Source organism: Homo sapiens, chromosome 17 (genome assembly GCF_000001405.40).
Source record: "Homo sapiens chromosome 17, GRCh38.p14 Primary Assembly".
Classification (NCBI taxonomy): domain Eukaryota; kingdom Metazoa; phylum Chordata; class Mammalia; order Primates; family Hominidae; genus Homo; species Homo sapiens.
In genome coordinates, this window is record NC_000017.11 from 20,240,890 (window position 1) to 20,256,778 (window position 15,889).

At 40.7% G+C, this 15,889-nt stretch overlaps 1 protein-coding gene across 26 annotated transcripts in view; it reads left to right on the forward strand.

Annotated features, from left to right (window-relative positions):
* SPECC1 (sperm antigen with calponin homology and coiled-coil domains 1) overlaps window positions 1–15,889 on the forward strand; it is a 309,668-nt gene that overhangs the window by 231,531 nt on the left and 62,248 nt on the right. For 25 of the 26 annotated variants that reach the window (NM_001386083.2, NM_001386078.2, XM_047437065.1 and 22 more), the window contains 3 exons: window positions 5,037–5,182; window positions 6,330–6,430; window positions 12,616–12,697. In NM_001386083.2, the coding sequence (NP_001373012.2) occupies window positions 5,037–5,182; window positions 6,330–6,430; window positions 12,616–12,697 (329 nt within the window). Of the gene's footprint in view, window positions 1–5,036; window positions 5,183–6,329; window positions 6,431–12,615; window positions 12,698–15,889 lie in introns of those variants that run through there. The other variant, XM_047437073.1, reaches the window with a different exon arrangement.

The following is a 15,889-nucleotide window of genomic DNA, read 5'->3' on the forward strand; positions in this document are numbered from 1 at the left end:
CGCCAGTCCTCTCTTGAGTGCAGTTTCCCCTTCACTTTGTATTATGAACTGTTTGCATCGAGCAGGGCATGATTTTGCCTGTCACCTTCTCTTGCTGAAGCAGATCCAGGTGTGGCAGGGCCTGACGTTTGCCCCAGGTCCGTGTCTGAATTCTGCTCAGATCCACTGCCTTTGCCTGACAGTGCTTCTGATCTTCTTCTCATGACTTAAACGTGTTGGGAGGCTCTTGAAGGTACATTTGTATTACATACTTGGAGGTACAGAAGCCCAGGTAGAGTAGAGAAGGGTGAGTGCCTAGTTGGGAAATTCACCTGTACCCAGTTTCTTCTCTGCCTGGTGAGCCTGGAACGCAGAGCCAGCTCTCTGGATCTCTTTGCGTGCCCCTCATCCATTTTAGGTGCACACTGTGGCTCTTCCTATCCTGCCCCTTGTCACTACTGCCCTTTATGCCTAGGGTAAACCAACCTTGGCCTTCTCGGATGTAAATTCTTCTTGTTCCTGATCCTTTGCCAAAACGCCGTGCATCTCTCTGGGCTTCTCATGCTCCTCTCCAGCCTTGGCCCTCTAGGGTGGGGGACATTAGTTGGGGTTTTCCCATATCTCCATTTTCTTTGGAAGGGAATTGAGGGAAAGCCCTTGGTATTGTATTTTCATTCCCCCGACCGTGTACTCTCTATTAGCAGAAATTCTTCAGAATCTAAGCCACGTCAATGATACTCGACTACAGGACTTTTACTATTTGATTCTTATTGTTGGGATTTGTAGATTATGATGCTGGTGTTCAAATTACTTTCTTATCCTGTTTGTTTTTATTGTTATATATGCTTTTACTGAAATTTGAAAGTGAAATTTAGAAGATATTGTTTGACACCTAAGAGACAAAGTACTTCATAATTTCTGTCTTCAAATAGAGTGAAAAACTTCTGTTAGATTTGTTTTATGCAAAATAAGTATTTAGAAAAAATTACATTCCAGGCAAGGGCATAGAATGAGCAAAGGCACAGAGGCAGGGCATAAAAGTAAAAAACTTCAGGTGAATAGTCCAAAACTAGATGGGCAGAGGGGAGTCTTGGGAGATTAACTGAAAGACCTGGGGTTGGGCTTTGTTCAGGTGTTCAGTAAAGAGACCGGCAGGCGTGAGCATGTGGTTGACATGCGACCCGCCCTCTTCACAAATATTAATCTGCCAATTGTGAAGGTAGCAGTGGTGCCATACAACACTACCCAAATGGAGTTAACCTTTGAATACTTTAAAAATCATCATGTACAGGAGCTCACCTGTTCCTGGATCAGAATGAACAATGACATAAAGTGCTGTTTTTAGGAAGTAAATGCTGTAGACCATGACTGACATTTGAAAACTCTGTTCTCTAACATAACAAGGAAAGCAGCAAATTAGAGAGGTTAAATAAAAGTTTTAAAGGGAAATAATTAGAGACATGTATGTATATGTGCTTAAATGACAAGGTGAGGCATGGAAGGCAGACCGACATTCAGTGAGGAGGGCCATGTGCCTTGCTGTGCTCCATGGAGACACTGTCTGCTTATGGAGTGTGCATCACCTGCTGTGTGTGACACAGCATCAGGCGGTCTGGCCTGCAACTGTTGTTCTCTAGTATCTGGCCTGCAACTGTTGTTCTCTAGTATGGGTTGCCGCCTTTTAAGAGCAGATTATTGTATAAAGATAGGAACACTGAAATAACTTGGTAGTATTTTTTAAATGTACTTAAAATTTAGGAAGAAATACCATCAGTATTATTTCTAGAACCTTGTATATCTCTCACAGAACATTTATGCATTATAGAAAATTTGAGAAATGCGTGGCCAGAGCTGGATTTGCACCCCAGTTTCACCATTCATGAATCATGTGACCATGGTCAAATTTTCCTCTAAAATAAGGGATAATAATATCTAGTTTTGTTGAAAATTAAATTAGATAATGCTTTTAAGACACATGGTACTGTGCTTGGCATATACAGTGGAGTTATACACATTCATATTTGTTTTGCTGAAATTATCGATTATTATCCCAGTTTTATATGCTGGGAGCAGGTAGAATACTTGCTTCATTTTTGTTGTTTTAAGCATGGCCCCTAAACACTAAGCACCTATTTAATGTGTGATGTAACTGAAGAAAGAGCCAATCATGAAATGCTGGAGGGAATGCAAGTATGTGAGACTTCTGGAGAGTTGGTGTGTTTGTAAACAGTCATGTTTACAAAAGCATGTACTTTTGAGTGACTCAAATTATTTTCATGGTTTATTTGACTACATGTGTGATTATTACTTTGCAGGTTGATTTTAGAACCTAACATCAGCCTTAGAGGCAGTAGCAAGCCTTGAACAAGTGTTTCTCCAGTAGTGGTACCTTGCAGTTTTTCTTTTATTTAATGCTAAGACATACCTGGCTGTATACTTACATATTTCTTAATATTCATTATAGAATACAGAGTTTTTATTCTTCCTTGGAACAGAGGAAATGTAAGACTTCATTTATGGCTGAGGCTGTTACTAATTGATCCCAGCCAATTCTAAAATAGGCTGGTGTAAGGATTTTCAGCCTCATTTATGATTTAAGTACATACTAATAAGCCAATAGCATTCTTAATAACCATTTTCTTTGGTTATTCAATTCAGGCTATGTTTTGTGAATCCCTCTCACATACACAGAGAGACACACAGACACACACACACATACCACTGTTACATAACACAGTGGGTATTTCTCTTCTCAAATTATACAGGGTTTTCTCATACTGACTCTTATTGTTCTGGCCAAGTAGACTTAGTGTTTGAAATACCATCTTTGGATACCTGAAGCCTGAGGTAATTGATTCTTGTGGCCTTGCTTTTTAAATTTATCATTTGATATTTTGAATTGCAGATAAATTTAGATAACTGAAAGGAATAACCTCAGCAGAATGTAGGCGTCTCCATTTTGTTCTTATTAAATTATCAAAGAATGAAATGTAAAATGAATTATTTAAAATGATTGTCCTTGGGGGCCTTTGGTACTGAGTCATTTAAATGGACTGGTAAGAAGGTGGCCAGGCGCAGTGGCTCATGCCTGTAATCCTGGCACTTTGGGAGGCCAAGGCAGGCAGATTGTCTGAGCTCAGGAGGTTGAGACCAGCCTGGGCAACATGGCGAAACCCCATCTCTACTAAAAAAAAAAAATACGAAAGATTAGCAAAGTGTGCTGGTGCTTGCCTGTAGTCCCAGCAAGCTACGCAGGAGGCTGAGGCATTAGAATCGCTTGAACCTGGGAGGTAGAGGTTGCAGTGAGCCAAGATCACACCACTGCACTCCAGCCTGGGCGACAGAGCGAGACTCTGTCTCAGAACAAAAAAAAGGTGGCCCATTTTGTTTGTTGATGACCTTCATGAGAATGGCTAGCACAGACCGAGGAAATTATTTTCTGCTCAAACCTAACCTGATTTCTTTTTCTTTCTGCATTTTTGCCACCTGATTTTATTGTATGGGAAAGTATGAAAACCAGTTCCTCTCAATAAAATTATTTAAAAATTATTTTAAAAACCCAACCTCCTACAATTTCTGAAGTGCCTGATAATTTCTTCCAATGAAGTTTTCAGTTTACTGATTTTTTTTTTCACTCATAAGAAGGGACTGTGGAGTGAAGATTGTAAGGCAGTGTGGTTTAACTGTTTTAAGTTCTGTTTCTCTTAAATTTATTCTATTCATGTTATTTACAGAGCAACAGAAGAAAGCTTAGAGAATTAAAGACAAATTCAACTGGAGAAGCTTATGAGTAGTAGCTAGATTAATTTGAAAATGATCAGTAAATAACTATTTTATTTACTGATTTATTTTAAACTTCCACCGACCTTATTGAAATATACTTCCAGAAACATTCTGTTTGAACTATTATCATAAATTAGTCATCTTGCAAAACAGCTGTGGCAATATGATACAATGAAGAGAGCAGTGATTTAGCAATGAGAAGGTTGGGAGTTCTTGTCTTGGCTCCTTCACAGGGAGATCACATGACATGCCAAAGTCCCCTATATGAGGAAGCCATGCATTGAGAGGATTGAGGATTGGGTCAATGATCTATCATAGAATGCTTTCTATGAGTCTAGAAGCCTCATGAAGAACACACCAGGAAACTTGGGTGAGAGCAGGAGCTTCACCTCATGCAGAATTGCAGTGTGATTTTAGAGTGCTGTTACCATTCTTATGCTTAGAAGTCAGAGTGTCTGAATCAGGATTCTGTTGTGTATAATGGATTGCACTCTCGTTGGCTTAGGCAGAAAGGTGTTAAATGGTTTGCAGAATTGTTGGGAAGGCTGAGCTTCCAGGAGCAGCTCCCAAAGTCTCCACACACAACTGGACCACCAGGGAACCTGCTCCCTCCACCAGGACAGGAGCCTTAACTTCAGAAAGCTGCCCACCCAGTTGGAAAGCTGCCACCACAGTTGCCAGCACCATAGCATCTTGTCTCTGCTACAGTCTCTGTCTACATAGTGAATGCCCGGTGCCCTGCCTCTCTTCCTCTGATTCAGGTCCCACTCCAGGTCTTGCCCAAGTCTTTCTGATTGGTGGAACTTAAATCACACCCAAAATCCCAGCTGTAGGAGAGCTGTGAGATTTCATCTTTCCAAACTCTGTGTACTGCATGGGGGTTGGAGCACATGTCGGCAGCCGGTCCACTGCATTCACCATTGACAGTAGGTGAAATATTTATGGTCAATAACATTTGCATTTTTTCACAAAAAATGCACAATTTGCAGAGTAGCCATACACACTTTTTATTTAGAGCTAATATCAAGTCACTCTACATATAAAAATAATTATTTCTGACCATTTCCCAAGAAAACAGCTCTTCTAAAAATTGAGAGCAATGCCTACATTATTTCCTAAAGATGCAAACTGGTAGAGAAAACAGGATGTTAAATTCAGAATTTCCCTTCCAGCTTCATTTATTTTCTCCACATCAGTTCTGTTTTCCTCTGTGTCTTTTTCTCCCATGGGGATGTCCTCCATCTTTTCAATCTGATTTGCTCTTTGCCATGCAGACCTGTGGATGAAGAGCCAGAGTCCTCTGAGGTCGATGCTGCTGGTCGGTGGCCTGGTGTCTGTGTTAGCAGAACATCTCCAACACCCCCAGAGTCGGCAACCACCGTTAAGTCACTTATCAAGTCATTTGACTTGGGACGCCCAGGTATTTAATCATTTTTTCTATAAGCAAAGCTCCAAATTCAAACTTTGGCCCGACATTTGATATGTCTACTATCTCTACTCCACCCTGGCCCTGTGTTGTTACAACCACAAGGGCGCTTTCCAGGTCCTACCACGTGCAGCCACTGCATGCAGGAGCCTGGCTGAGGCTCCAGGGAGGCACTGATGGAGAGCCTGGCTCATGAATAACACAAATGCAGCCTCTTCCTCTCTACCGCTTCCTTCCATCCAGTTCCTGCCTTGCTACCTTTCTTTTCTGCCTCTCATAGCCATTAAATTCAGGTCACTACTATTTGCCTTTTTGTCATCTCATGAGAATTATGAGGGTCAGCTGGAGACTTCATCTCCTAGGAAACGAGACATCACATCTCTGCACCTGGCCCTCTTGGAGGCACCCCTGGCCATCCCCATCTTGCAACCTGCTAGACGTTTTTCTACCTGGTCTTGTACGTGAGCACCTGTGCTAATCTGTCACTCCTGATCTAGGTGTGTTCCCAGCTTTTCCTGGTGTTGTCTGATGGTCTCACAATTCCCCTTTAGTCATGCTTATCTTCCTATATGAGAAAGATGCGTAGCTATACTTCATACATATACTGTACACATAAACATAGCAAATAGAAGAAACAGAATGTGCATCTGTCTACAGTAACAATATCTTTCTTCCCCAGAGTGCAACAAACATGCCATTGTATTGGGAGACTGTAGTAAAAGTTAATCCTAGGATGTACCTGGTTGTCTCTGCTAAAATTGTTTGCACCTAAATTAGATTAAGACTAGACTCTACATATTCAAAGACATGAAAGCCTTTCATGTCTGTGAAGACAGGAAATGAATTAACAATTTGTACAAGAACTTTTCTGTTCCTTCCTTCTCTAGGCATCTCATTATTTATACAGTTTCTTTTTGCTCAGCTATCCTTCATCTAAGACTGACCTCCACTCAGCTAAATCTTCCCTTCTTGTTTCCCCAAAGCAGCTCTAGTCCGGAGAAGAAAAGGATAATAGAGTAAATATTACACTAAACACGGATACTCCTTAAGCCACCAAAAAAAGTAACAAGAAATCAGGAACAAGTATATGCTATTTTGAAGTGGAACAACATATAAATGTTCCCATGTTTTTTCTTGGCAGGTGGAGCTGGACAGAATATTTCTGTCCATAAGACCCCCAGAAGTCCCCTAAGTGGGATACCAGTGAGGACTGCTCCAGCAGCTGCTGTCTCTCCAATGCAGGTAGATGAGCCCCAGAAATAACCACTGCTTATGGTTTGCTGTGTATCCCTCTAGATGTTTTTCTTTACACATATTAGTGTCCGTGTGTGTATGTGTGTGTGTAGAGTATGTGTTTTGTAAATTGGATTGCACTATGCATTATTCCAATACTTATTTCACTTTATCATCGGAATGTAAGCTTCATGAGGTCAGATATTTTTGTTCATTTTGCTTGCTGTTTTATCTCTTGTCTGTAACACTGGTTGGCACATGGTCACATTATAGTAGAAGTTCAATAAATATTAAATGAATGAAGGAATATGTTTTCAAATTTTAATATTTGCAGAAACGATTCTTTTTATAAAAGATTACATAATATGTGGTGATTTATTTAGCCACTGTTCTACTGATAGAAGTTAGGTTTTTTTGGATTTAACTTATTACAAAAAATAATACAGTGAAGATACTGATACAAATTTTTGACCACTTAAGGGGCTACTTTTTAAATAAGGGTATATCAAGATTCATTTGTAAGTATCAGAGATGACTGTAGTTAAGCAGAAAGGAATTTAATACAGGGATTTTGGTACTGAGGGCTGGAGAAAGGTCTAGGCTGCACTGAGCTTCCAGGAAAGGTTCCCAGAGCATCTGAAAGTTGGCCCATTAAAGGAGCTTCTGTTTCTGCCAGAATCGGGAAGTCTTTCTCTAAGTGCTTACCCAGGACTGCCACTGCTACCAAGATCTAGGATCAGCCTGGTGACTACACTGCCACAGGTGCAGTCCATGCCAGAAAAGCACACTCTGTGCCTGCCCCATACTGACCAGAAAACGGTGGAACAGACCCCAGAACCTCTGCTCCCCTGCCACAGAACAGCGAATGCCTTCCCAGCCATGTTTACCAGGAGAAGCTGCAGAAGGGAAGCCTTACACTCCCTTGCACCTTCCAGATCCTCTGAGAAGGGGCCTGTTTGACAGAAGCTAGGCCACTTGATGAGCCAAGCTTTAAAGGAGTTTGCCAAGTACACCCTTTAGCTTCCCAGTCCCTTATAGTTCAATAAGTCGCCCTACAAGGAGATGAGGATGGAGTTGAGTGAGCCCGTCTTGAGATCTTCTACAAATTGATTCCTAGTGAAGGAAAATGGAGTCCTAGAAAAGGAAATGTATTTGACCTGTTCCAGCATGTCGAAAAACTTGATAGACACATTGCCCTTCAGTTTGCCCTCCCGCTTACAGTACTATTTTCCAAGAATTTTGACACTGTCTATAATTTTTGAAGATCAAGTAAGTGAACAATAATATCTTGTTTTACTTTATCAGTAAGGTGGAGCACTTCTTCGTATGATTATAGGCCATTTATCTCTTGTGTGTCGGTGTGGAAACTTACATACTTTGCCTGCTTTTCTTTTGAAGTGTTAGTCTGTTTATGTTTTGTAAGAAGTATTGATATATTGTGCTTTTTAACATTTTTTCATATGTAATTGTATTACCTTTTTTATCTTTTAATGTCATATTAATAGTTATCTTTTACTGAAGAGAAATTTTACATGTTTGTGTTGTGTTTTAAGATTTTGTTTTGTTTCCTGCCTTAAAATGTCTTTTCTAGCTATTAGATGATTAAAATATTCTCCCTAAATATCTTAAGGAAGTCTTTTATTTCTTCAGTCTTAAAACCCATAGAAACATGGGTTTGGATTTAGATATTCTTCCCCTATCTTAACTGCCTTCTGGAAGCAGAAGTAAATACTCTCTGGAGGACAATTACACCATCTAGATCCTTAAATTATAGCCACATTTTAAAAAATACAACGTTATATAGTAACTTTAAACAATACCAGGCATGGCCAGGTGCAGTGGCTCATGCCTGTAATCCTAGCATTTTGGGAGGCCGAAGCAGGCAGATCACGAGGTCAGGAGTTCGAGACCAGGGTGGCCGACATAGTGAAACCCCGTCTCTACTAAAAATACAAAAATCAACTGGGCATGGTGGTGTGTGCCTGTTGTCCCAGCCACTCAGGAGGCTGAGGCAGGAGAATCACTTGAACTCAGGAGGCAGAGGTTGTGGTAAGCTGAGATCGCGCCACTGCATTCCAGCCTGGGCAACAGAGCAAGACTCCATCTTAAAATAAAATAAAATAAAACAAAAAACCAGGCATACAAATAGATAATACCAAATGATGAAAAGCCAAGAGAAAAAATAGACAATAGAAACAGACACGGAAGATTCAGATATTGATATTATTAGACATAGACCCTAAAACAACTGAGATTAATGCTGTCAACAAAATAAGTGACAAGGTAGAGAATTTCAGCAGAAAACCACAATGTATAAAAAAGAATCTGTTAGAGATTTTATGACTTAAAAATAAAATACCTGAATTAAAGACTCAATAAAGTTTAGCTGTAGCTTAAACAGTTTAAGAGAGGCTTAAAGAACTGAAGACAAGTCAGTATAAATATCTGAACTGAAGCACAGAGAAAAAGGATAGGAAATAGAGAAAAGGACATAAGAAACATATGGGATGGAATAAAAAAATCTCATGTGTAATTGGAGTCCCCAAAAGGGGAGAAAAAGAGCAGAAGTGATATTGGAAGGGATAATGATCAAGAATTTCCAAAACTGATAAAAGATGTCAAGCCCAGATTCAAGAAACAATAAGAACCCCAAGTGAGATAAGTACAAAGAAAACCACCCAGACACATGAGGTTAAAACTGCTGGAAATGAAAGAGAAAGCATCCTAAAAGCACCCAAAAGAAAAAAGATACCTCAATGTCCAAGGAGGAAGAGCAAAACTGACATCTTTCTTCTCAAGAAGAATGATGGAAGCCCTGAAGACAATGCAGTGGCATCTGCAAAATGCTGAAAGAAAACACCTGCTTTCCTTTACCTCATGAAAATATGCTTCAAAGTGCTGTACCTGGTGAAAATACCCTTCAAAGGTGAACACAAAAGAAAGATGCTTTGAGTCCAACAAAACCAGATGTTTTTTCCTAGGATACTTGCAGTGAAAAGACTATTTAAAGGAGTTCTGCATGGAGTTTGTTCTTTTAAAAGACTATTAAAATTCAAAACATCTGACAAGAAAAGCTAATGCAAAATTACCTGTATCAGGAATTTGTAAATGGGTACATCACTAAAGATTTCATAATTATTAAAGCAATAGTAAGAGAATATTATATATTACTACTTTGTGCTATAAATTAGAAAATATTGATGAAATGGTCAAAATCTTAGAAAAATGTAACGTGCTAAACTTACATAGGAGAGAGTAGTAGAAAATCTCAATCACCTATAATTTATATCTTTTCCTTAAAAGAAATGCCAGGGCCTTATGGCTTCACCATGAAACCTCCCAAACATTTAAGGAAGAAATAATGTCAATCTTACGTAAATTCAGAGACTAGGAAAGAGGTCAGCATAGCTTTGATCCCTAATAGTTGCAAGAACATTAATAGACAAGAAAATTAAAAGGTCTTTCTCACGAACCTCTTTGCAAAAATCCTGAACAAAATCTTGGAAAACCTTATTCAGAGACACATGAAAAAGATCATGTCATGTTGGGTTTATTCCAGGAATGGAAGGTGGTTAATATTGAAGCCAACCAGAGTAATTCACCACATTAACAAAGGTATAAAAAGAATATGGTTGGCCAGGTACAATGGCTTATGCCTGTAATCCCAGCACTTTGGGAGGCCAAGGTAGGTGGATCACTGGAGGCCAGGAGTTCAAGACCACTCTGGTCACCATGGCGAAACCCCATCTCTACTAAAAATACAAAAATTAGCTGGGCGTGGTGGTGCACGCCTGTAACCCCCAGCTACTTGGGAGGCTGAGGCACAAGAATGGCTTAAATCCAGGAGGCGGAGGTTGCAGTCACCTGAGATCATTGCCATTCCACTCCTGGGCGACAGAGTAAGACTCTATCTCAAAAAAAAAAAAAAAAAGCATATGGTCATCTTAGTAGGTGGTGGCAGGAAAATGTAGTCGATAAAGATTAATATCTTTCTTGATGGAAATTCTTAGAAAAGTAGGAATAGAAGGGAAAGTCTTTAATCTGATAAAGGGTCTGTATTATATATCTACAGCAAACATCATACTTAATGGTGAAATATCGGATGCTTTCCCACAGGATTGTGAATGGGATAGGAATGCCCCATATTGTCACTTTTGTTCAGCCAACTTCAAAAGCAAGATTTAAAACTACTTTTGAAAACTGTATACCACGACCATTATATTTTTGTGGGATGTGGATACATGGAATTGTGTTTAATATGCTATGAAGTAGAGCCTCTAAGAGAAAATAATGTTCTGGAAAGCCTCAGAATGGCCCTGCACAGGCAAATGTACCAGGTTGTTCATTGCAGCATTGTTCCTAATATCAATATCAACATGAATATCAATAGAGAATCAGTAAAATAAATTATGGTAATGAAAATAGCTAAGATCTACTGAATGCTTACTATCTGCTGGGCTGTGTTTTGATTGTTCTAACTGGATTTAACTCATTTAATCCTCCCATAACCCTTTGAGGTAAGTACGTTTAGTATCGTTGCCATTTTATAAATAAAGAAAATAAGGCACAGAAAATTAAGTAACCCAGAGTCTCACAGGTGGGTGGTGCCATCTGTCCCCAGAGCCACTTACTTGGCCTCTTGTGGCACTTCTCAGAGGAAGCTGCCAAGATGGTGGGTGATGGTGGGTATAGAATGACTTCTAAGATACAGTAAGTGAAAGAAGCAAAATGGTGTACAAAACAATATAATGCTATGATAACAGTTGTGTTTTTAGAAAAACAGAGGGTGTTTTTCAAGGTTTTTCCTTGAATAATATCATGCTTACTTGCATTCTGAAATGCTTTTTTAAATGGCAGTAAAAAAAATACACCATGAAATCTACTCTATTAACAAATTTTTAAGTATTGTTAACTAGAAGCACAATATTGTATGGCAGGTCTCTAGAAAAATTTTTTTTTAAATTTTTAATTTTATTTCAGATTCAGGGTGTACATGTACAGATTTGTTACATGGATATATTGTGGGATGCTGAGGTTTGGGGTATGATTGATCCCATCACCCAAGTAGTGAGCATAGTACCCAACAGGTTTTCAGTGCTTGCCTCCCCCTCCTCTAGCACTCCCCAGTGTCTCTTGTTGCCATCTTTCTGTCCTCTAGAACTTTGTTATCTTGCCTGACTGAAACTCTGTATCCACGGAACAATTCCCCACTTCCCCTCCCTGAGGCCTCTGGGAGCCACCACTCCACTGTCTGCTTCTGTGATTTTGACTACTTTAGATTCCTCACGTACATAGAGTTATGCCGCTCTTGTCCTTCAGTGACTGGTGTATTTGACTTAGCATAATGTCTCCAAAACTCATTTATGTTGTAGCATGGGACAGGATTTCCTTCTTTTTTAAGGCTGAATAATATTCCATTGTATATTCTATACCACATTTTCTTCGTCCATTCATCTGGTGGTGGACACTGGGGTTGCTTCCACGTCTTGGCTGTTGTGAATTATGCTGCAATGAGCAAGAGAGTGCAAGTATCTCTTTGAGATCCTGTTTTCAATTTTCTTGGATAAATACCTAGAAGTGGTGTTGCTGGATCATTTGGTAGTACTATTTCTAATTTTTTGAGGAACCTCCATACTGTTCTGCGTAATGGCTGCACCATTGTACATTCCCACTAACAGTACACAGGAGTTTCATTTTCTCTACCTCCTCACCAATACTTGTTCTTTTTCAGTTTTTTTTTTTTGATGATGGTCTTCCTAATAAATGTGAGGTGGCGTGTCACTGTGGTTTTGGTTTGCATTTCCCTGATGATTAGTGATGTTGAGCATCTTTTCATATACCTATTAACCATTAAAAATAGAATACTTATACACACATCCTTGAATATACATAGAACATTCCAGGAAAGATATTCACAAAGCCAATTAATAATGATTGCCCTTGGAGAGAAGAACTGGGAGATGGGAAGGAAAAGGAGACTTTCTCTTCATTATTTGCCCTTTTCATTGCTTTTGGGGATAGTGTCTATTGCATGTATTACCTATTCAAATAAATGAGTTAATTAAAAACTCCCCTGGTTATTCCACTGTGTTTAAGAACTGTTGCACACACACGCATGCACACACACACATCTGTGTTTGTGCTATTCTTGATGTTATGAGCTCACCGTGCTGGTGTCCCCCTGGTTTTTACAGAGGCATTCGACTTACAGCAGTGTGCGGCCAGCCAGCAGAGGGGTGACTCAACGCTTGGACCTTCCTGACCTTCCCCTCTCAGGTAAATTATGTCAACATAAAGAACTTTTGACTTATCTTTCCGTGCAGTTAACTTTTCTTCATTTCTCTGCATGAAACTGAGCTTAGAAAAATAATCAGTGGCATTTCTTGCAAGTGATTTCAACCCCGAATAATGTACATATCATGAATGTTAGATGCAGCAGTGCAGCTGACAAAAGGAAAAAGTGTCTCCTGCCAGCTGCACTTCTCAGTGCCCTTGTGCTGGGGAGACAGGCCCAATTTTTTTTTTCTTTTCCTTTTTTCAGAGACATGGTCTTGCTTTGTTTCCCAGGCTGGTCTCAAACTCCTGGTCTCAAGTGATCCTCCTGCCTCGGCCTCCCACAGTGCTGGGATTATAGGTGTGAGCCACTGTGCCTGGCATATTGTTTTTTAACTGAACCTCAAGAGCATATTTTCTAATCTTTAAAAAGTAACTAAGGGAAAAAATCTTACCTGATTTTGAATTTGTCTGCTACTTCTGCAATTCTTAAAATTTGCCCCTTTAAAGGTATTTGTCTTTTGGTGCAGTCCTCTTCCTGTTGTTACACCGTGTGTGTGTGTGTGTGTGTGTGTGTGTGTGTGTGTGTGTGTATTTGTTTTTTGTTTTAACTCCAATCCTGGTTGTAAAGTGGAGGTTGCATTCAGCAGTCCCAGCAGTCCCCATCCATCACATTTGCGTGGCGTCATATTTCCTGTGTCACAGGCTGATGTGAAGCAGCCCTCAAGAAGGGACACGTGGGCTTGAGTCTCAGTACTGCTGCTCAGCCTGGCTTTGGCCCCATCACCCCACTTCTCTGTGCTTTAGTCTCCTCATCTCTAAAACGGAAATAATCCGGTCCACTTCCTAGGATTGTATCAAGGATTGAGTTAGCACATTAAAGCGCCTTGAACATGCTGGGTGTGTGGCAAGCACTGTGGAAGTGTTTACTGTGCACATCTCACCTGCTGTTCTCTGCTGACCCAGTTCGCCTGCCCAGAACTAAAGGGACAACAGTGCTCAAGCCTAGTGGGAAGTTAAGGTTGTCCAGAATACGGGGCTTAGAACCTATGTATGTGTCTATGTGGTGACTGTTAGGAAATAAAAAAGGCAAAAAGAACACTGAATGGACTGTTTACTGGTCCCTGTAGAAGGGATAGAAAGCCAAAAGTCTGGGTCACATGGACAGAAATCCTTTTGTTTCTAAGCATAAAATAAAATTTCTACAGCTGTACTTCCTTTAGATCTTGGTCAAACACAATCAGGCTTGTTCTTAAAATAGTTGTTTCTATGAGGGAACTTTCCCCTCTGAATCTTCTTTGCTTTTTCATGGAATTAAATAAGGATTTTAGAGTTGGGTAAACACTGACAATTGAGAATTTGAAGATGATCTGAGCCCATTCCTCGAGTTTTACATGGGAGAGATTCAAGCCCTACAGAAATTGAGTGACTTATAAAGGCTACAGCGATTTTGGATGGCTGTGGGGCCAGGAAGTCTCCTGATTCTTTCTACCATGTGCCTCTTGGTGCTGAGGCTGGTGATTGCTCGAGTAATAGCTTTCTAAAGTGGTGAAAGTTTACGTGGGACTCCAAGTCATGATAGTGACTTCCCAGCAGAAGGAAATGAAGACCAAAGGCCAGTGTAAAGTCAAGAGTGTAAGAACAAACAGAGTTCAGTGGAGGTAGAGAAATGAGAGAGTACGTGCTCCAGGAGACCAGGCCTGAGTGTCCCATACTAGGAGGGGAGTGGAGGAGACCAGAGCACAGCAGGAAGCCCACTTGGCTCACCATCTCCGTGCTTGCTGTGTAGCACAAAAGAGGGAATAATTTGATGACACGCATAGTGCTAGGTGTGGGGTTTTTGAAAAATTGTGGTAAAAGACACATAATATAAAATTTACCTTATCAACCATTTTTAAGTGAACTAGGTAAGCCTTTGGTAGATAATATTTGTTCTTCTCTCTGTTCCACTAGCCTTAAAGTTTTCTATTGTGTAGAGACACCATTCTTTCTGGTTTTCTTTGAGAGAGAGTCTTGCTGTCACACAGGCAGGAGTGCAGTGGCATTATCATAGCTCACTACAGCCTCAAACATCTGGCCTCAAATGATCCTCCTGCTTCAGCCTTCAAGTGGCTGGGACTAGAGGTGCATGTCACCATGCCTGGCTAATTACAAAAATTTTGTGGGGGGATAGAGACAGGGTCTCACTAAGTTGCCCAGGCTGGTCTTGAACTCCTGGCCTCAAGCAATCCTCTTGCCTTGGCCTCCCAAAGCGCTGGGATTACAGTTATGAGCCATCATGCCTGGCCAAGAAACCATTCTTTTTTTTTTTTGAGATGCAGTCTTGCTCTGTCACCCAGGCTGGAGTGCAGTGGCGTGAGCTCGGCTCACTGCAATCTCTGCCTCCCAGGTTCACACCATTCTCCTGCCTCAGCCTCCCGAGTAGCTGGGACTACAGGCGCCTGCCACCATGCCCGGCTAATTTTTTGTATTTTTAGTAGAGATGGGGTTTCACCGTGTTAGCCAGGATGGTCTCGATCTCCTGACCTCGTAATCCACCCACCTCGGCCTCCCAAAGTGCTGGGATTACAGGCATGAGCCACTGCACCCGGCCAAAACCATTCTTTTAGTTGACACGGTACATACTGAACTTGAGACCACAATAGCTTATTGCTCTGCAGTTAATATCTCATTGACAGCCCTCCCTACTTAGCCCCCACCAGGCACCTGTCTGCTTGGATGATTATATTTACTGTTATTACAGCAAAGGATTACAGTGACAATTACTTGCTTCTAGCAATCCCCAGGAATTGCTTGTCAACACTGAGGTCATTGGAAGCTGCAGAAACCAAAGATTAATGTGCTGTTCTTGTTGTTCCCTTGGATGTAAATACTGTTTTTCTCTGCTATTTAGAGCTGACTAGCCTCACTCCCAACTTTACTGCCCCTAATTGGTGGCAGTGAGCTGTGGAAGGATTACTTTCTTCTGTGACTATTCACAGGTCATGGGCGGCAACTGTGGGCTCATCCTGGTCCCTGGTCTGCTCTGTAGCTTAGAACAAGGCACTTAGTTCTCTGAGCTCCAGTTTCCTCTATAAATATAAACTAGACAGTCTCGAAAGATGTCTCCTGTTCCGCACTTTTATGGTCCTTTGAGAAATATAGTCTGGCTAGACATGGTGGTGCACTTTCCTGTAGTCCCAGCTACTTGGGAGG